This window comes from Homo sapiens, chromosome 1 (assembly GCF_000001405.40).
Source record: "Homo sapiens chromosome 1, GRCh38.p14 Primary Assembly".
NCBI lineage: Eukaryota > Metazoa > Chordata > Mammalia > Primates > Hominidae > Homo > Homo sapiens.
Window position 1 is genome coordinate 121,382,680 of NC_000001.11, and position 20,587 is coordinate 121,403,266.

At 43.3% G+C, this 20,587-nt stretch overlaps 2 protein-coding genes and 1 long non-coding RNA gene across 8 annotated transcripts in view, besides 3 other annotated features; 2 read left to right on the plus strand and 1 right to left on the minus strand.

Annotated features, from left to right (window-relative positions):
• The window catches only part of SRGAP2C (SLIT-ROBO Rho GTPase activating protein 2C), a 207,900-nt gene extending 197,705 nt beyond the window's left edge, over positions 1-10,195 (plus strand). Inside the window, exons 8-10 of one of the 2 annotated variants that reach the window (NM_001329984.2) lie at positions 22-246; positions 3,827-3,928; positions 4,955-10,195. In NM_001329984.2, coding sequence (NP_001316913.1) covers positions 22-246; positions 3,827-3,928; positions 4,955-5,176 — 549 coding nt within the window. In that variant the 3' untranslated portion in view covers positions 5,177-10,195. The remainder of the gene's footprint in view (positions 1-21; positions 247-3,826; positions 3,929-4,954) is intronic. The other variant, NM_001271872.3, reaches the window with a different exon arrangement.
• Positions 1-15,226, minus strand: part of SRGAP2-AS1 (SRGAP2 antisense RNA 1) — a 37,750-nt gene extending 22,524 nt beyond the window's left edge. Inside the window, exons 1-2 of the long non-coding RNA NR_104189.1 lie at positions 15,084-15,226; positions 14,802-14,987 (exon numbers count right to left, since the gene is read on the minus strand). This is a non-coding gene — a long non-coding RNA (SRGAP2 antisense RNA 1). The remainder of the gene's footprint in view (positions 1-14,801; positions 14,988-15,083) is intronic.
• LINC02798 (long intergenic non-protein coding RNA 2798) overlaps positions 12,893-20,587 on the plus strand; it is a 67,558-nt gene continuing 59,863 nt past the window's right edge. Inside the window, exons 1-2 of one of the 5 annotated variants that reach the window (XM_047438021.1) lie at positions 12,893-14,625; positions 14,926-15,724. In XM_047438021.1, the coding sequence (XP_047293977.1) occupies positions 13,205-14,248 (1,044 nt within the window). In that variant the 5' untranslated portion in view covers positions 12,893-13,204 and the 3' untranslated portion in view covers positions 14,249-14,625; positions 14,926-15,724. Of the gene's footprint in view, positions 14,626-14,925; positions 15,725-20,587 lie in introns of those variants that run through there. The other 4 variants (XR_007066534.1, XM_047438024.1, XR_007066533.1 and 1 more) reach the window with 4 other exon arrangements.
• Positions 12,970-13,264: a silencer, noted in NCBI's record as "tiled region #13946; K562 Repressive non-DNase unmatched - State 4:PromP". NCBI's record gives its function as "represses a minimal TATA promoter and a strong SV40 promoter by Sharpr-MPRA in K562 cells {active_cell/tissue: K562}" and the evidence as "EXISTENCE:reporter gene assay evidence [ECO:0000049][PMID:27701403]".
• Positions 18,477-19,065: an enhancer, noted in NCBI's record as "NANOG-H3K27ac-H3K4me1 hESC enhancer chr1:121143016-121143604 (GRCh37/hg19 assembly coordinates)". NCBI's record gives its function as "activates a minimal SCP1, AML or CMV promoter by ChIP-STARR-seq in primed H9 embryonic stem cells {active_cell/tissue: H9 hESC(primed)}" and the evidence as "EXISTENCE:reporter gene assay evidence [ECO:0000049][PMID:30033119]".
• Positions 19,066-19,654: an enhancer, noted in NCBI's record as "NANOG-H3K27ac-H3K4me1 hESC enhancer chr1:121143605-121144193 (GRCh37/hg19 assembly coordinates)". NCBI's record gives its function as "activates a minimal SCP1, AML or CMV promoter by ChIP-STARR-seq in naive and primed H9 embryonic stem cells {active_cell/tissue: H9 hESC(naive and primed)}" and the evidence as "EXISTENCE:reporter gene assay evidence [ECO:0000049][PMID:30033119]".

The window sequence follows — 20,587 nt, forward strand, 5'->3', positions numbered from 1 at the left end:
TGTGCCTTCTCCTTCCCACAGCAGTGTTGTGACTTAGGCTACCATGCAAGTCTGAACCGGGCTCTACGCACCTTCCTCTCTGCTGAGTTAAACCTGGAACAGTCGAAGCATGAGGGTCTGGATGCCATCGAGAATGCAGTAGAAAACCTGGATGCCACCAGTGACAAGCAGCGCCTCATGGAGATGTACAACAACGTCTTCTGCCCCCCTATGAAGTTTGAGTTTCAGCCCCACATGGGGGATATGGTGAGGCCCTTTCCCTATACCCCCACCCTCAAGGGGCTTGAGTGGAGTTGTCTAGATTAATTACACAGAAGGCACATTATTCTGGGGTGGGAGAGGCCTGGGCCCGGCTTTTTGTCAGGTGGGTGAGGCACATTCCACTTATTGAGCAAACAGTTAGTGAGTGCCTGCTGTCAGACACTCGGGCTTGGGTGCAGACATGGGGGATTAAAGCCCTCGGGGAGCTTACAGTCTGGGGAATAAGGTCGCTAAGGCTTGAGGAGGGTTCAAACTATGCATAGAGAGGGGTATCCAAAGGGGCCCAGCAGGATCAAAGAAGGTGAAAAACAGCAGGTATATTCTAAAAACTACCAACAGTTCAGGATGGTGAAAGGAAAGTGAGGGAGGGGGGCGCTCCCAGTGGTGAGGCTAGAAGAAATGAGAGCTGAGGTGGGGCCACATCCTAGAGGCTTTAGTGGGGAAGCGAGGGCTAGGTAGGGAATGCTGTGATCTTTTGGCGTTTGGCAGAGTTCTGAATAATCTTATTCTCCTGAAGTTAGAAGACTGTGATGAAGTGTATAGTTTTGTTTGGGTATTGAATAAAAAAGAATGGGTACCTGCAGGAAGGAAAGGAGCTAAGATGCTATCCCAAAGGCCTGATGCTGGTTGCCCAGACAGGGGAGCATGAACATGGGGGCCTTGTTTTGGACTCTTAGCCTCCAGTGACTAGAATAAAAAGGGCCTAAAAAAGCTAAAGTGAGAGGCAGGAGAAGCTCCTGGGTTTTCATAGTTCTGAATCTTTTGGTTCCACTTGTGTGGTTGTGTGTACAAGTCAGAGTGAACCTCATTCCTGTGGATAAGAGCCACCATTTCTCCTACTGGTGAAATTAGAAGGAGGTTGTATAGGGCTTATGCGATAGAAAAGATCAAGATGGACCTTTGGGTATAGTTGGCTTTAGGAGGAGGAATTTTACCAAGACACTGTTTTGCTGTCTCTGTACTACTTCCTGTGTGTTAACTCCATTCTCAGACAGGCCATTCTCCCATGGAGGCAAGGTGACTGCATTTCCAGCCTTCCCTGGTAGGTTGAAATCTAGTGGAAAGAGTCTCTGCCTCCCTCCTCAAAGCCCCCATAAAGTTTGTGTGTCTCATTGGTTTTGATTGGGTAAAGTGCTTATGCCTGGGTCCATGCAAAGCACGTGGCCTGAGTTGTGGAGTGGGAGGTTCCCCTCGCCGAGGGCAGTTAGACCAAAGCTACCAAAAAAAGGAGGAGTGGACGCCGGGGACCAAAAAACAGCAACATGTGTGCTCCTCAGGAATGATGCTTCCCTTAAGATTAGCATCCAGACTCTAGAAATCCCCACTCCAGAATGACAGCTGTGGCAGTGGAACCAGAGGATTTGCTGTCATCAGTTGGCCTCTATGGAGAGTGAGACGCTGTCCTGGAGATAGAAATGTGGAGTTGGTTTCCTTCCTTTCCTTCTTGGGGAAAATCAAACCATTTACAGTTCATTTCCATTGCTGTGGCTTAGGAAATGTCAGTGTCTGAACAGATGGAGAAGTGAGATGGCAGCATGTGCAATTAGAATTGGGGGAAGGGGTGTCACCAAGCCTCAGGAAGCCCCATTCCTCACCTGCCCTGGCTTCTGGTCAAACTTGCCTTCCAAGCACCTTCTCCAGCTGTCACTGAGGTTCCTTCCCAGGGATCAGTGGAACTTGGGGACCAGCTGAGTGGAGTGATACATTTTCTGGTGTTAGTGACTGAGTTGCCTTCTGAGCCAAACAGCTTGTCTCCATAAAGGAGGAATCCAGATGCTGGGTGCTCAAGCCCCCTTCTCCCCCTGTCAGAGCCTTATTTCCATACTCCGGAGTGCAGCTGAAGTGTATTACCTTGCACCCTGGTAGCGGACCACTGTCAAAGCATACATCATCATCAGCTCTGCTACTTCTTAAAGGAACAGGCTTGGAGGTGGTTTTTCCCTCCATGATTCCTCTCTGCTAGCTCACTCTTCTGCCAGGGCCCTCCCTTTATGTAATATAGCTGATCAGTGGCTGAGCCAGGCAGGGGCCAGGACCAGTCCTGGAGCTTGTGAAGGTTCCGCATTCTAGCCTAGCCTTCATATGAGTGAAATAAAAAGAGATGAGAGGGTGGGTCATTCTTGGCCTCTGCAGCCAGTCTATCCCCATCAGTGTGGGTTGTCTGCAGATTGTGGAGGCAACAGGAGGGAGCTGCCTGGAAGTCGTTGAACTAGGGCCAAAGATTGGGTAGCATTTTGACCGGAAGCCTTAAAATTGGCCAAGGTCCCACACTAACTGGTGTTCTGGGGTGCACAGCACATGAATTGATGCCAAGTGCTCTCAGATGTACTAGGAGGAGGTGCTTGGCTCCATTTTTGGTGCCCTCAGAGGCTGTGGGACTCTGGATGCCTGACTGGTGACATCAGGCAGCCAGAGAATTTCACTCTTGGCGCTAACCGGTTCTGGCCACTGAGCTTTCTCCATTGTGTCTGCTTATCCAAGAGTTAGAGTGAAGTCAGCTCTCTGTGGATCTGAGAGTTGGCTCAGGCCAGCCTCTCAGCTGGGGGAAGAGGTCAAGTCAGTTGGGAGCTTAAAAGCCAATGGAGGAAAAGGTCAAGTCCCAGCCCCCTCCATTTGAAGAAAGGTTTTTTCTTTTCAAGCAAGGGAATGGTCCGTGGGCATGTGAATGTGCCCACTCTTTGCTGAGGAGGAAGGAGGCCATTTCTATCCAGATGTCTCTCTGCAGACAAGAGGCTAAAGGACGAACGGTAACAAGGTGACAGGAGCTGTCTCCACATGGGTCCTGCCTCCCAACTCTCTCAGCCTTCTGCTCTCATCTGTCATCCAGGGGACTGTGGATGACCTCATCCCATAACCACATCTCCAATGGGAGACAGTGGAACAGCCATTCCTTCACACAGGGGAAAGCTAATTGGCAATAATCCTTGCGGGAAGGTCAGACTCCTCTCTTACAGATCTAGGGAAGGCCTGGGGTAAAATGATGGCTCTTTGGAAAATGCCAAGCTCCTTCAGATTCCATACCCTCTCGGGCCCTCTAGCATAGGCAACGAACTTGTTCCTGGCTTCACGCTTTCTCATTGAATCAAAGCTCTCAAGCATGGCCTGGATTTGTAAACACATGCTGGCTGCCAGCAGTGGCAAGTTAGCCTCCTGACCCACTTCTCTCCTGCTTTCACTCTGGTGTATGAAGGGGGATGAGGGAGGGGCCAGAGAGGTGGCCACTTGGACCTTTGGCAGGAAATCTTCACTGTGCCAAAGCATTGTGTTTCTGGAGCCGGAGCTGCCTGAGGCACTCTTCTCCAGCCTCCTCAGCCTTCCATGGAGCTGCAGACCCTACATAGACCTACCCCTGCCGGGCTCCAAACAGATCCCCCTACCCATTCCTTTCATGTACTGTTTGGTCCTGGAAGAGGCTCACACAAGTTGGCTTTGGGTTTTGCTTCAACATAGAAACCACGAGCCTTATACCTTGAATATGGGTAGTTTCATTGCCAGTAATGGGAACTCTGGAACTGCCAAAGGGACTGTATCCTCTTTCTGACCTGGTGTTGCTTTCTTTTGTTAGGCTTCCCAGCTCTGTGCCCAGCAGCCTGTCCAGAGTGAGCTGGTACAGAGATGCCAACAACTGCAGTCTCGCTTATCCACTCTAAAGATTGAAAACGAAGAGGTGAGTTTCTTCCTTAGGAGGCTCAAAGCCACACTCTTAGTTTCCCTGTTGAAACTTTTGCTGCTGCCCGTCTGGGAGCAGGTGGAAGGAGCATGCAGAGAATGTCCGGGCGGCCGCAAACATTTCCTAGCCAAATGTAGGCTTGGACTTTCCCCCTCTGCTACATCCTGCCCTTGAACTCCAGGAAGTTGCTCTTGCATTGCCAAAGGTTGTGCTCTATTTTGAGCTTTTGCGAAATGCTTTTTTTCCCCTCTACACATTTAATCAAAATGGCACTTGGCAGCTGTGTGAACAATATTGTGTCTCTGAAACCACCTCCTCATGCCTAGCTTTTTCCAGCATGTTCAAACAAACAGAGGCCTTTGACTTTGACACTTCAAACATCTCCATCCTCTTAGGAAAGGGTGAGTTTCTTCTGGGCTCAGTGTATTTGCTTTCAAAAAGCGGTTCAAAAGGGCGGGTGATCCAGCTTTCTGTTGAGCTCAGATGGCTTCTTACCTTGTGTCTCAGTAAGTCTTACTTTCTGCAGGAAGATCAGGAAGAAGTAGGGATAGGTCACTTAGTTTGCAAATGAGCAAACAAGTTCATCAGTTTGTTGAAGGTCATGAAACAGAACCTGGGGCTTTGCAGTACTAGGCCCATCACACATTTTAATTAGCTGTTTGTATGAGGGGGTTGGTTTAGATTTATTTTATTCTCTTTCCCTTAAAACTTCTATTATAATGTTGTTATATAATATTATAATAATGCTAATATTAAATTTTAAAAGTAAACATTAAAAGATCTGGGTCAAGTACATAGCATGAAGGGTTGTAGTGGCTTTTAGGTTTTCACTGTAGAGAGTAGCATGCTGTAGCAGAGTCCATGTGATGTTTACCTCTCACTTAGCACTGTCCAGTGGGAAGCAGAGCTGCACACTCTGATGGCATCCTGTGGCCTTCCCCAGCCCACTCTCTTCAAGCTTCTCCATCACCTGCTGTTTAACAACCCACCCTTCATGCATCCTGTTGGCCCTTGTCGTGGCAGGTAAAGAAGACAATGGAGGCCACCCTGCAAACCATCCAGGACATTGTGACTGTCGAGGACTTTGATGTGTCTGACTGCTTCCAGTACAGCAACTCCATGGAGTCCGTCAAGTCCACGGTCTCTGAAACCTTCATGAGCAAGCCCAGCATTGCTAAGAGGAGAGCCAACCAGCAAGAGACAGAGCAGTTTTATTTCACAGTAAGGGAGTGCTATGGCTTTTAAAGAGCGTCAGCATGCACTGCAGCACTCAAGGGAGATTTGGAACTCAGAGTCCTTGTTAAGTGTCTGAAGGACAGGCATTGAATATCTTAGATACGAATGTGGGCATACTCAGAGACCATCCCTACACTTAAAGGTGCAAACATTAAAAGTTGTATATGTCTAACAGGGATCCGCCCAAGAGAAAGGATGCTCCCAAGTATACAACTAAGAAGATTTTCTTTTTTAAGAAATTTTTAACTAGCTAGTAGGCTTTCACTGGAAAGTTTCCTTCTCAGGCACAGGGGATCCTGAAAGGGGAACTTCATCTTTTAGTTCTTGGAGAGTACATACAAATATTCATAATAACACATATTTTGTTTATAAAAATCTATAATCTCTTCTAGGTGATATGATGACATTATTTTATAACTTTTATTGTTGGGAAACTATTTTTTCTAATTATTGCTAAAACTTAAAGGATGGGTAATATGCAGCATTACTATTTTGCACATAATTCCAAAACATCGTATTTTCTTATTCATGTATCTCTAGTCTTCTTTTAGACAGTTGGACCCTTTTTTCTTTTTCTTTTTTTTTTTTTTTTTTTAAGTATTGTTAACAATCCTTTGGAAGTCACTACTGGTCTTTGTGTGCTGCTTTTTAATAATTGAGTTATTTTGAGCTTGCCAAGTAGGATCTATTGCCTGGACTAAAATTTATTTCCTAATCTTCTGATGACCAAGAAAGGAAAAATTAAGTTTGCAGATGTGAGATGAAATATAGCCAGTGAATATGCATACTGATTCTGAATGAAAGGAATTAACTTTTCAGTCAAGAAACAGTCTGCATGCAGTAAATTGAATTTTTCCTGCAACTGGAATGATTTGTTTAATTCTTCTTTGAACACTGCCCTTTCTCCAGTAAGAACACTAATGATTTGCTAATATTTTTTAAAGAAATCTGTTTTTTTAATTAGTTAAGCTCAGACTTCCTCTTATTTTTTATCCTAGAGAAAACTGCTAAAAGGGAATGATATATCAGTACTATTCTTCTAAAACAACTTTTTAAAAATGATTATACAAAGCCAAATATGCTCATTATATAAAATTTAGAAGCAAAAAGAAGGAAATAAAAATTTTCCATAATTCTACCAGCTAGAGATAATGGTGTTAGAATATATTCCTTTCTAATCTGTTTTCTATGCATGCACAAACACATATGTGAGCACATATTTATAATTTTATTCTAAAAAATAGGACACTGCTGTACATATTGTTTTACAATCTAAGTCATATAATTATAATATTCTTTAAGCATATTTATGAGTAAAATATTAAAACCTATACAAAAAAATAACAGAATGGCATTTTAGCTCATTCATTGATTTTTATAAAATATTTAACACACTCCCTGGTTTGTAGTTAGCGTTCAATAAATGCTAAAAATTTATCTTCACCATCATCATTAATTTATTTATTAATCATTATTAAATTATTCATTGATCATTTTTTGAGGATTTACTATTGCCAGACACTGTGCTACAAGCTGGGAATGCTGACAGTATAAGATAAAGAGGGAAATGATGGGGGATGGGTCATGTAAAGGGAGAACTTTCATTTTTACTTCATATATATCTAAGCAGTTATAATAGGTTGATTTTTGTAATTTAAAAAATGTAAAAATGCATACATGCACTAGTGCATGAATGGCAGCCAGGATGAGTGGAATTGGAGAAGCATCACACACACAGTGACTTTTGTGTTTGATCTTGAAGAATGAGCGAACCAGGCAGGGAGTCGGGGAGGAGAATCGCATTCCTTGAGGAAAGAGCAGCATGTGGGAAAACATAAATGCACGCAATAACCTGGCTCACATGTTAAGAGAACTTTCTGACTATAATGAGGGATGTGTTGCTGCCCCAAGCTTCATTATCTAAGGAGTTTGTTGAACACTCTCTAGAGGCTTTTAATAATAGGATTGTTTAGCTGGTCTGTCTGGACTGGTTAGATATAACACTATTTAAATGACCCAATCTCATTACATTGTGAAGATTTCCATTTTTTAGGTTACGTAAGAAATTTTGGACCTAAAAATCTTGCATTTTAAGACAGTCTTTGTCAGAATTACTTTTTGGCTCTAAATGAATTCTGTAACATTTGTATTCTAAATTGACCTTTAGTAAAAGCAGGAATGGCCATATTCAAACTGGTAACCTCGCAAATCCTGCCCACCCTTTCACTTTCTGTCTCAATACATTGATGTCCTCTAACCCATTTCCTGTCTTATGTGGCTTTAGTGCCACTTATCAAAATTGTGTGCAAATTTCCTTGGCTAACAGTAACAGTTTTTGTCTGGGCTTGTCTAGCAGTGGAATTCTGCCTGAGTTCATCATTTTTGTGACTGGTACTTGAAGTGCATCAGATGATTAATTTCATGATAAGAGGGCTTTTTGGGGTGGTGAAATAGACATTTATGGAAAATGGGATACCCACATTAAGCAGGGTGACTACCTGTTTACCATACAACCCACACAAAGCCAATACAACTATAGATGTGCTTTCTTTAGTCTGTTGCCTCTGCAAACATTGCCCGTGTGTTTCTCTATGCCCTTCAAAAACATCAGAGCAGCACATCCTGGAAGATCCTATCTTTTGTAAGTTTAAGAAGCAGCCTCTTGTCACAGCTTGACTCCTAGGTAGTGTGCCTAGTGACCAAGAGGGCTGCTAAGAAAGCTTTCTGACCACTTGTGGCTGTCATTGGACTGATTTGCCCAGATGACATCAATTGGGAATTTGAGGCATGACCTATAAAGATCAGTTGCTTGCAAGAGTCTCAGGAAAATAATTGTGGAGTTAAGAAACTTGAAGCGATTTTTAAAAATTACCTAACCCAACCTTCTCATTTGAAAAATTAAAAAATAAATAGGCCAGATATGGCGGCTCATGCCTGTAATCCCAGCGCTGTGGGAGCCTGAGGCGGGTGGGTCTCTTGAGGCCAGGAGTTCAAGACCAGCCTGGACAATGTGGTGAAACCCTGTCTCTACTAAAAACACAAAAATTAGCTGGGTGTGGTGGCAGGCGCCTGTAATCCCAGCTACTCAGGAGGCTAAGGTGGGAGGATTACTTGAACTGGGGAGGCATAGGTTGTAGTGAGCCAAGGTCGTGTCACTGCACTCCAGCCTGGGTGACAGAGTAAGACTCTGCCTAAAAAAAAAAAAAGAAAGATTAAAAAATAAATAAATCTGCTGGGCGTGGTGGCTCACGCCTGTAATCCCAGCACTTTGGGAGGCCGAGGCGGGTGGATCACCTGAGGTCGGGAGTTTGAGACCAGCCTGATCAACATGGAGAAACCTCGTCTCTACTAAAAACACAAAAAAATTAGCTGGGCGTGGTGGCGCATGCCTCATTCACGTACATGGGAGAGTCTACAAAGTCACACGTATTCATAGGTTAAGCCACATGCTGACAAATGTCATAAGAAGACCCTACACTTTTACCTTGGCCGATCCCTCCCCTCAGTGCAAGCTCTGTGCAAGAGTGAACTTGAACTTCACTCAGTGCAAGAGTGAACACACACTTTGTGCCGGCTTTAAAGAACCCAGCACAAAGCCAGTCTGCATGGCCTACAGACATATTTTGCTGGACAATGATTACTTGCTTTTCTTTTTGTTTTTCTTGTATATGCCTGTTTGATTGGTTCCTGACATACCAGAAAATCACTGTCAAAACATTAGCTTAACATTTGTTAAGGAAACAAAAAGACTTCGGTGACCACACCTTATAAACCAAACAGTTTTGTAAATCACTTTGGAAAATTTCACTAAAAAAAAAAATCCTTAACAATATAATAAGTAAAGAAAATTTAAAACCACAAAACATTACTGTGTTTGTAGGGGGAGGTCTGATTTACAGAGTAACCACATAGTAATTATAATTATTAGAATGTCCAGTTTTCAAAAAACGTTACAAGGCATACAAAGAATGGGAAAGTGTGGCTCATTCAAAGGAACAAAATAAAGTGACAGAAAATATCCCTAAGGAAACCCAGACATCAAACTTACCAGACAAAGACTTTAAAACAACTCTCTTCATTATACTCAAATGTCAAAAGGAAAACATAAACAAAGAAATAAAGGAATCAGAAAAAATATTAAAAAGTAGGAATATCAGCAAAGAGATAACAAATTCTGGAGTGGAAAACTACAATGATAAAAATTTAAAAATCACCAGAGGGATTTAAGAGTATATTTGCACACACAGAGGAAGCCATGAACTTGAAGAGAAGAAAATGGAAAATACTGTCTCTGAGAAACAGAAAGAATAAAAAATAAACAATGAGCAGAGACTAATGAATTTGTGGGACATCATCAAATAGACCAACATTCATATTCTAGAAGGATAAATTATGTTGTTAAAAAGTTTACCATTCTTTCTTTTCACCTTTCTTCCTTCTTCCTTCCCCCTCCTCCTTTTTACTTTTCTTCCTCTTCCTTTCTCTTCTTCTTTCTCGCCTTCATTATCCCTTTCGCTGTTTCTCTTTCTCCCTTTCTCTTTTTTCTTTTCTTTCAATTTTCTCAATTACTAAGAGATGTTTAAGTACCCTTAGCATGTTAGTAGATATGGTTATTTCTCCCTTTAGTTCTCTTTTGAGATTTATAGTCACTCAAATAAAGAGATAACCCAAACATAAGCGTCACAAACAGGCTTTCATACCATTCTTAATTTGGTCCTGTAATTCTTCATTGCTGTATTAATTTTCTGATGCTTTTAAGGATGTTTTATAACAAATTGTGTAGCTTTTTCCAATGGAATGTTTATTCTGAATTATCTAATTCATATTGTAAGTATAGAGGGAGTTTAATATAAAATTATTAAACTAATATTTGTGAAAGAATGTATTTGAGCATTTAACAAATATGTTAATCCTCAGACTGTTATTGGGCAGCTGAGCATACAGGAATAAAAATAACACAATTTTTATGTGTACAATATTTATGGAATACGTTACTGGACCCAATAAATAATTTAGTTAATAACATGACAAAGAACAGAAATTGTATACACTATAGAGCATAGTAATGGAATAATGAATGATTAAAGTTATTAATATTAGGTAGAAAATGAAGGGTATCTTTGAGAGCAGAATTCAAGGAAGCAAGCAATTCGCCTTATCAGGAAAGAGTTACCTGTGGATAAAGGAGAAACTGAAAAATTTACAAGTCAAGACTTTTTGAGCAAAAACAAAAATATGACTATTAGTCACCAATTCAGTACAGTGAAAAAAATGTTGAAGAGATATCTTGGAAGTAAACCATGTTGTGGAAGAGCATGTAGGGTTTTGATAATCATGGGATGATTCTGAATTAATTTTAAATGCGATAGGAATATATGAGATAATTTCACCAGAGAATAATATGATTGTGTTTGCATTTCAAAGGGGTGTATCTGGTGCACTGTGTAGAATAAATAGGTTATGTGAGCAAATAAATTGGGAGGCTACTCTAATCCAGCGAAAAAAGGTAGTGACTTAGGTGAGAATGCTGTCAGCATGAGTGGTAGTAGTGGTGAGAAGTCGTTAGGCCATGGATGTATTTCATAGGACTGGCCAAGAGAACTGCAGCTAAATTGGAGTGTAGGGAGTGAAATAGAGAACTCAAAGATGACTCTCAGCAATGGAAGGTGACAGCTGTCACTGAAGCATGCTGATGCCTCTTATTAAGAGAGTTACTTGGGAATGGCAAGATCAAAACTTCTCACTTTCAAATTTATGAAAAATATTGTTTTCAGAATGAGTGACTTTGGGATCAGAAAGCCACCATTCTAATTGATGGTTCCACGACTACACGGGCTCACACTCGCAAGAGCAAAAGTAAATCATCACAAAGGTGCTTCTTGATAATTCTAGAGAATGGAGAATTACTGTAACATCTTTCTGATTTTAGGAGAGGTAGCAGTTCCCTTTTTAGCCTAAACGCTATTTCTTTTTAAAGCTCAGCCAAGAGACTCCATTATAATTTTCAAATGTGTGTAACTTAAATTCTCATATGAAATACCACTATGCTTAAATTAGTCAAAACATTTTCCCCATCTACAACTCTATCTTGTCATTGTAATCATTTTCACAAAAGTGACTGCAGCTCTCAGACCCTAAAAAGAGAAAATCCAGGGTAGTTTATCTGATCTAGTTAGTTTCGAAGACAGGATCTAGAGATTATTTAATATGAAATGGGTCACCTGAAATGAAGTGTTTACTGAAAACAGCTTGGATCAGCCCAGTTTTCTACCACTGAACCATGCATTTGGTTTAAAAAACACAACAACTCTGGGGAATATCGGCTGCTTCCAACTGTGTTGAAGGTGTTAAAGAAAAGAGCATAAAATTAAAAATGATCATCTGAGGCCTTTATAGTCTCTGCTCAAGAGACTAGAGTTTTCCATTCTTAACTAAACACCCAAATATCTTAATAATTGGGCAAAATCTAAATATCAGAGATAATTTTATCTTGAAGATTGTTAAATTATAATGGTGATTCACTAGCTTGCCACGTCTCTGAGTCAAAAATTAGGTCTTTGTTTAGGAATCAATCATAATCTGCAATTTGGAAATAGGAAGATTTTAGAAGACTCAGACATTGACTTTCTTCTGTGCAAAAAAAAAAGACGTATTGAGATAAGACAAGTCTTTCCTTGCAAGGATACCTCTAATGCTCATACACCACCTCCCCTAACATTAATAGAGCTTCCAGGTCACTAACCAGTGTCAGAGAGCAGCCCATGCAACTAGAAATTCAAAAGATGTCGAACATAGGGTCAAGCTTAGAATAAGACGTCTTAGCTAATTAAGTATGCTTTTTTCCCGAAATTCATATTAACAAAATCTTGGATATGTCAGAGAATGCATTCTAAGTTCACTCAACCTAGGAGGGAGAAACATAATTTTAAATTAAGAGCTGAAGCATTCTTGTCCTAACACAAAGCAAGGAAAACGAAATATCACACCACAGGAGGGATTTCACAAATTTGCGTCAACATCAAAACCTTAAAATAGGCAAGGAGAATGCAGATTCACAATGAACTCTTGTACTTGTTTTGTTCAGAGGAGAGATGGTTCTGAGAGAATGACAGTGAACTAACCCCAGCTGGTTTAGTTGGTGCTTTCAACTACTGCTTCTGATCAACTCCTTTAGCTAGAATAAATTGATGAGGATTTTGGCATGTGGTATTAGAGATGGTTATTAATTTTTTCCTCTTATTTGCATTGTTCAATATAGTAAATACTAGCTGTATATGGCTACTTCAATTCAAATTAATTACAATGAAATATACTTAAATATTGAATTTCTTAGTCACTCTTGGTTCATTATTGAATATCTTCAGCTAAGATTTCCCAACTAAAGACACTAAGAGGTGGCTTAGTTAACTGGTCATCCACAAATATTGAAGCTGCTGTTAACTCCTGATATATTCTCTGCAAGGAGAATACTCATAAGCCTCCTCCTGAAATCAGCAGCCTAGAGATAGTTTTATAAACTGGATACAAGTTGGAAATCTATATACTCTTTAAGTGTTTGAAATATTAGCTTCCCAGGGAAGAAAATCAAATTCATAAGATATGCTAGGACAATTTAACTCAAGATGTTCAAAACTGAAATGACATATTCTACAACATGTGATAAAACCACCCCCTAACAACTTAAAGCAAAACAGGGATGGACCTTAAAGACCTGCCTTTTCCTCATCCCCCAGCCAATCAGTTTTCAAATCTTGCATTTTATTTTGAAAGGTCCCTATCCCCCTGGTCTCTTGTTTCTAGACTTGGCACATATTTAAGTTTGTTACCTCTCTCTACTGACTTTTCTCTCTTCAAACAGTATCTATGCCTGCCAAATGTGAACGTACAAGAAACAAATCAGAATGTGTCATTCTGATTTAAACTGCTTATTAGTTAATACCCTCAAGATAACATCTGGGTTCTTAGCTTCAATGAGTCAAGCCTACTTACATCTTTTTGTCTTTGGCTGCTCATTTCCTATCACATCGCACTCCAGCAATGCCAAGCTGTGCCGGCCTTCCACTCCATCTCCATTATTTCGCCCTCCACCGCCGCCGCCACGGCTTTTTGCCCCCCCGCCGCCGCGGCTTATTCCCCCCACCCCGCCTCGGCTTTTTGCCCGCCGCTGCTTTGTGCCCCCCCGGCGCCAGGGCTTTTAGCCCGCCGCGGCTTTTTGACCCCTTGCCGCTGCGAATTTTGCCGCCGCGGCTTTTTGTCCCCCGCCGCTTTTTGCACCCCGCCGCTTTTTGCACCCCGCCGCTTTTTGCCCCCCCCGCCGCCGCGGCTTTTTCCTCGCCGTGGCTTTTTCCCCCCTGCCCCCACGGCTTTTTACCCGCCGCGGCTTTTTGTCCCCTGCCGCCGCGACTTTTTGCCCCCCGCCGCCGCGACTTTTTGCCCCCACCCCGCCTCGGCTTCTTGCCCGCCGCGGCTTTTTACCCCCCGCCGCCGCGGCTTTTTGCCCGCCGCGGATTTGTGCCCCCCTCGCCGCCGCGGCTTTTTGCCCGCCGCGGCTTTCTGCCACACACCCGCCGCCGCGGCTTTTTGCCCCTCCGCCGCCGCGGCTTTTTGCCCCCACCTTGCCTCGGCTTTTTGACCGCCGCGGCTTTTTGCCCCACCACCGACACAGCTTTTTGCACACTCGTCGCCTTGGCTTTTTGCCGCCGCGGCTTTCTGCCCCCTCGCTGCCGCGGCTTTTTGCCCCTCCGCCACCGCCGCTGCTTTTTGCCCCACCGCCGCCGTGGCTTTTTGCCCGCCGCAGCTTTTTGCCATCGCGGCTTTTTACTCGCCACGGCCTTTTACCCGCCACGGCTTTTTGCGCCCCGCTGTCACGGCTTTTTGCCCCCCTGCCGCAGCGACTTTTTCGCCGCCGCGGCGTTTTGCCCCCGCCGCCACGGCTTTTTGCCGCTGTCGCCGCCGCTTTTTGCCCCCGCCGCCGCGGCTTTTTGCTGCCGCGACTTTTTGCCCCGGTCGCCGCCGCTTTTTGTCACCGCGACTTTTTGCCCCCGCCACCGAGGATTTTTGTCCCCGCCGCCACGGCTCTGAGGGCAGGAGCGGCAGACTCGGCTGCCAGCTCTACTGGCGTCCTGGCAAGGGCAGCGCCGAGGGGTGCTCCTGGTCCAGCTCTCCTGGCTCAGGGATTCTTTGCCTAGGCGCCGGCGCCCCGGGCTCCTTGCCTAGGCCCCTGTGGCCTGCATAGAGTGGCGCTGCCTGTGGAGGCGGTGGGAGAGAAGAAGGAGGGCGGTGGTGGGGGTGATGCGGCGGCCACGGAGGGTGGCACAGGGGCTGCGGCCAGCCGGGCGCTGCAGCAGTGCGGGCAGCTCCAGAAGCTCATCGTCATCTTCATTGGCAGCCTGTGCGGGCTGTGCACCAAGTGCGCTGTGTCTAACGACCTCACCCAGCAGGAGATACAGACCCTGGAGGTAAGGGGTTCGGGGACCCGGGCTGGGCTCCAGGAGCGGCCCGGACACCTCCTTCGGGGGCCCCAGTTCACTCCTGGCCGAGTTGCATCTTTGAGCCCACGTCACCCCCTTGGAGGCTTCCCCTCCCTCCTGCACTCGCTGATGCGGCAGCCAGAGGACCCAGGACCAGCCCTCACCTTGGGCAGGATTTGTGGAGCGGGTGCGTGGTGGGAACTGGGATGGAGGCTCCAGGGTCCCGTGGGGGTGGGGGTGGGCTGCGTGAGGACATCCCCTTACCCCCTGAATTTCCATCTGGTCCAGCCCTCTCATCTTGTAGGTGAGGAAACCGAAGGCCCGAGGGAGAAATGACTTGCCAGGAACCCCTGTTAAGGAAAATTAACAAAGTGTGGTTATTAAAGAAGAACTGAGTTGGGAGTCAGACCTGGAGGCCCGCACCCGCGGTTAAGACATTATACCACCTTGAGTCTGGCCTGTTGACTGAGGGTGAGCCACTCCATCCTCATGTGATTGTGGGGTCTTAACCTCAAGGGGTTTCCTGCAGGAAGAAGCAAATGGGTTTGCTTTCCTAGCTCTGTCCAGTACGTTAGGGACCCTGAGGACTGAAGAGATTCTTGGAGAGCCATCTGGTGTATGTCATGGGTGGGTCTTTTTGGAAGGTCAGTCTGCCCAGTGGGCTGGCTCAGCCCGAATGAACTGTCTTGAATCTTTGGAGTTGTCTGTGTACTTTTAAGGGCTTCTCAGCCTTGCACCAAAAGATCCCCCTGGAAATTAGGTGGGAAAAACCTTAACTTTTGTGGGGCCTTGTGTTTGTCTTAAAAGTTCATGCACATAGCCAGGTGTGGTGGCTCCCACCTGTTATCCTTTCCTGGATCCCTTGAGTCAAGGAGTTTGAGACCAACCTGGACAATATAGTGAGACCCCATCTCTACAAAAAATAAAATATTAGCCAGGGGTGGTTGTGCGCATCTGTAGTCCCAGCTACTACTGTGGCTGAGGCGGGAGGAGCACTTGATCCTGCACTGAGCTCTGATCTCACCAGTGTACTCCAGCCTGGGCCACAGAGCAAGACCGTGACTCAAAAAAAAAAAAAAAAAAAAAAGACAAGAAAAATTCTTCAAGATTTTGCATTCTGTCCCACTACCCATTGGTTTTCATGTCAAGATAATGTCAGAAATTCTTTACAATTGCTTCCAGAAGGAGTAGCCTTTTGATCTAGTGCACAGGTGTCCAGTCTTTTGGCTTCTCAGGGCCACATTGGAAGAAGAATGCTCCTGGGCCGCACATAAAATACACTAATGCTAACAACAGCTGATGGGGTTAAAAAAAAAAAAGGTTTGTGCATAATTTTCATGCTACCCACCACCACAGATAGGTGGAAAAGTCCTTGTAGTCAAAGGGCTGGACACGGCTGATCTAGTGTCTTGTCGTCCGTTTTGGCTTTCTCCCTGAATCCAGAATGCAGGTAGAGATGTAGAGACATGCTCTCAGGACAGCTGTTGAGATAAAAAAAATTCGTTGTCATTTATTCCCAAGCACAGCTGTTTCTCATTGCATTGAAAAAGTCTCCATTCAAACTGCTGTCACATATAAAATCTATTTATGTAAGTCTGTATTTTTCTGTTGTCTTGGCCTTTGTAGGCAGTAGTGTGTTTTAACCGAGCAAACTGTCCTTCCAAATAATGAAGCCGAAGTCAGCCTACCTACTTGCCATTTTTCTTCCCCTTCCATTTTTGTAACCTCGGAATAATTGTAAGAATGAATTAAGATTTGTGTTTAAGGCCAGGCACAGTGTCTCAGGCCTGCAATCTCAGCACTTTGGGAGGCGGAGATGGTTGTATCGCTTGAGCTCAGGAGTTGAAGACCAGCCTGGGCAACATACTGAGACTCCGTCTTGTATAATTTAATTAAAATTGAAAAAAAGAAGAGAAAAAGACCTGTATTTAAAATTTTAAAAAGGGGGGGAAAGTGTAATGCAAAATGTGGACTATGCGAGCTATGACTGGGAAAACTAGTTTTTCATACAGCATTATCTGTAGACTTGTATTAGCAGCATACTGGTCATAAGCGTTTTGCTTTCCTGAAATATGATGAGGTAAGCTAATTTAAAGTGTGTTGGGGCTTTCTGCCGCGTGGCTCCTGGAGGTGTTGAGTCCCAATTTAGCCAATTAATTTGGGTTTAGTTTTGACGTGGATAAGGGAGACCAGCTTCATTCATGGTGTACACACAGTTTTGCCAATAAGGAAAAAAAAAAGCCACCTGAATGTTCCTACTCATTAGATGCTATCTGGAGAGCTCCTACCCCACCCCCACCAAGGCCCGGGCCATTAAAAAGACTCAATGCAGCCTTTCTGTATCTCATACTGTATTCTGCAAGATACTCCTGTGAAAGAAAGTTGTGCTGCATCAGCCATCTCCCTCCTGAAGATCCCTGCGGATGAGGATTTGTGTTTTGAAAGTTCTGAGAATTCCTGCAACAACAATTCTCAAACTTATTTGTCCATGGGATCTTTTCTTCCACTGAATGTAGTTGGGGAGACACGGCCTTAAGCCTTGAGCAGAGAAAGAGACAAGAAACTGTCGGCTCACTTACAACCAAGTGTTGTGTTTATGTTTTAGGTTTTTATGAAACTGAGGTGCTGTTTGAGGTTCTAAATGAAATTGGGTGGTTGAAGAGAGGCTGGTATCCCTGTAGACTTAGCCAGCCATGAGAAGTTGCCTTTTGTTGAAGGAGGTGTTTTACAAAGGGAAATAGGGTGTCTCCTGGGCATCGCATTAGCAATTAAATACATGTATCACTGAAATGAAAAGAAATGATGAAATGATGAAATGAAATGATGAAATGAAACGAAATGATGAAATGAAGAAATGAAATAATGAGATGAAATGATGATGAAATGAAATGAAATGATGAAATGGAATGATGAAATGAAATGATGAAGTGATGACATGAAATGGTGAAATGAAATGAAATGAAATAATGAAGTGAAATGAAATAATGAAGTGAAATGAAATGATGAAATGATGAAATGAAAAGATGAAATGATGAGGAAATGATATGAAATGATGAAATGATGAAATGAAGTGAATGATGAAATGATGAAAAAATGAAATTAAATGATGAATTGATGAAATGAAACGATGAGATGAAAAGGTGAAATGAAACGAAATAATTAAATGAAATGAGATGAAAAGATGAAATGAAATTATGAGATGAAATGAAATGATGAGATGAAGTGAAATGATGAAATGAAATGATGAGATGAAATGAAATAATGCAATGAAAGATGATATGATGAGATGAAGTGAAATGATGAAATGGAATGATGAAATGAAATGATGAAATTGTGAAATGAAATGAGGAAATGAAATGGAATGATGAAATGATGAAGTGAAATGATGAAATGATGAAATGAAATGAAAAGATCAAATGGTGAAATGAAGAAATGATATGAAATGATGAAATGAAGTGAAATGATTAAATGATGAAATAATGAAATGAAATGATGAAATGATGAATTGATGAAATGATCAAATGAAATGACGAGATGAAAAGATGAAATGAAATGACGAGATGAAAAGATGAAATGAAATGATGAAATGAAATGACGAGATGAAAAGATGAAATGAGATGAATGATGAGATGAAATGAAATCATGAGATGATGAAATGATGAGATGAAGTGAAATGATGAAATGATGAGATGACGAAATGCAACAATGAGAAGAAATGATGAAATGAAATAATGAAAGGATGAGATGATGAGATGAAATGATGAAAGGATGAAATGAAATGATGAAATGAGGAAATGAAACGATGAAATGTAATGATGAAATGATGGAATGAAAAGATGAAATGATGAAATGATATGAAATGATGACATGAAGTCAAATGATGAAATGATGAAATAAATGAAATGATGAAATGAAATGAGATGAAATGAAATCATGAGATGAAATGATGAAATGAGATGAAGTGAAATGACGTAATGAAATATTGAGATGAAGTGATGAAATGAAATGAAACAATGAAATGAAGTGAAATGAAATGAGATCAAATGATGAATTGATGAAATGAAATGAGATGAAAAGATGAAATGAAATGAAATGATGAAATGAAATGATGAGATGAAAAGATGAGATGAGGGGGGAGGAGCCAAGATGGCCGAATAGGAACAGCTCCGGTCTACAGCTCACAGCGTGAGCGACGCAGAAGACAGGTGATTTCTGCATTTCCATCTGAGGTACCGGGTTTATCTCACTAGGGAGTGCCAGACAGTGGGCGCAGGCCAGTGGGTGAGCGCACCTTGCACCAGCCGAAGCAGGGCGAGGCATTGCCTCACTTTGGAAGCGCAAGGGGTCAGGGAGTTCCCTTTCCGAGTCAAAGAAAGGGGTGACGGACGCACCTGGAAAATCGGGTCACTCCCACCTGAATATTGCGCTTTTCAGACCGGCTTAAAAAATGGTGAACCACGAGATTATATCCCACACCTGGCTCGGGGGGTCCTACGCCCACGGAATCTCGCTGACTGCTAGCACAGCAGTCTGAGATCAAACTGCAAGGCGGCAGCGAGGCTGGGGGAGGGGCGCCCGCCATTGCCCAGGCTTGCTTAGGTAAACAAAGCAGCCAGGAAGCTCAAACTGGGTGGAGCCCACCACAGCTCAAGGAGGCCTGACTGCCTCTGTAGGCTCCACCTCTGGGGGCAGGGCACAGACAAACAAAAAGACAGCAGTAACCTCTGCAGACTTAAGTGTCCCTGTCTGACAGCTTTGAAGAGAGCAGTGGTTCTCCCAGCACGCAGCTGGAAATCTGAGAACCGGCAGACTGCCTCCTCAAGTGGGTCCCTGATCCCTGACCCCCGAGCAGCCTAACTGGGAGGCACCCCCCAGCAGGGGCACACTGACACCTCACATGGCAGGGTATTCCAACAGACCTGCAGCTGAGGGTCCTGTCTGTTAGAAGGAAAACTAACAAACAGAAAGGACATCCACACCGAAAACACACCTGTACATCACCATCATCAAAGACCAAAAGTAGATAAAACCACAAAGATGGGGAAAAAACAGAACAGAAAAACTGGAAACTCTAAAACGCAGAGCGCCTCTCCTCCTCCAAAGGAACGCAGTTCCTCACCAGCAACGGAACAAAGCTGGATGGAGAATGACTTTGACGAGCTGAGAGAAGAAGGCTTCAGACGATCAAATTACTCTGAGCTACCGGAGGACATTCAAACCAAAGGCAAAGAAGTTGAAAACTTTGAAAAAAGTTTAGAAGAATGTATAACTAGAATAACCAATACAGAGAAGTGCTTAAAGGAGCTGATGGAGCTGAAAACCAAGGCTCGAGAACTACGTGAAGAATGCAGAAGCCTCAGGAGCCGATGCGATCAACTGGAAGAAAGGGTATCAGCGATGGAAGATGAAATGAATGAAATGAAGCAAGAAGGGAAGGTTAGAGAAAAAAGAATAAAAAGAAATGAGCAAAGCCTCCAAGAAATATGGGACTATGTGAAAAGACCAAATCTACGTCTGATTGGTGTACCTGAAAGTGATGGGGAGAATGGAACCAAGTTGGAAAACACTCTGCAGGATATTATCCAGGAGAACTTCCCCAATCTAACAAGGCAGGCCAACGTTCAGATTCAGGAAATACAGAGAACGCCACAAAGATACTCCTGAAGAAGAGCAACTCGAAGACACATAATTGTCAGATTCACCAAAGTTGAAATGAAGGAAAAAATGTTAAGGGCAGCCAGAGAGAAAGGTCGGGTTACCCTCAAAGGGAAGCCCATCAGACTAACAGCGGATCTCTCGGCAGAAACCCTACAAGCCAGAAGAGAGTGGGGGCCAATATTCAACATTCTTAAAGAAAAGAATTTTCAACCCAGAATTTCATATCCAGCCAAACTAAGCTTCATAAGTGAAGGAGAAATAAAATACTTCACAGACAAGCAAATGGTGAGAG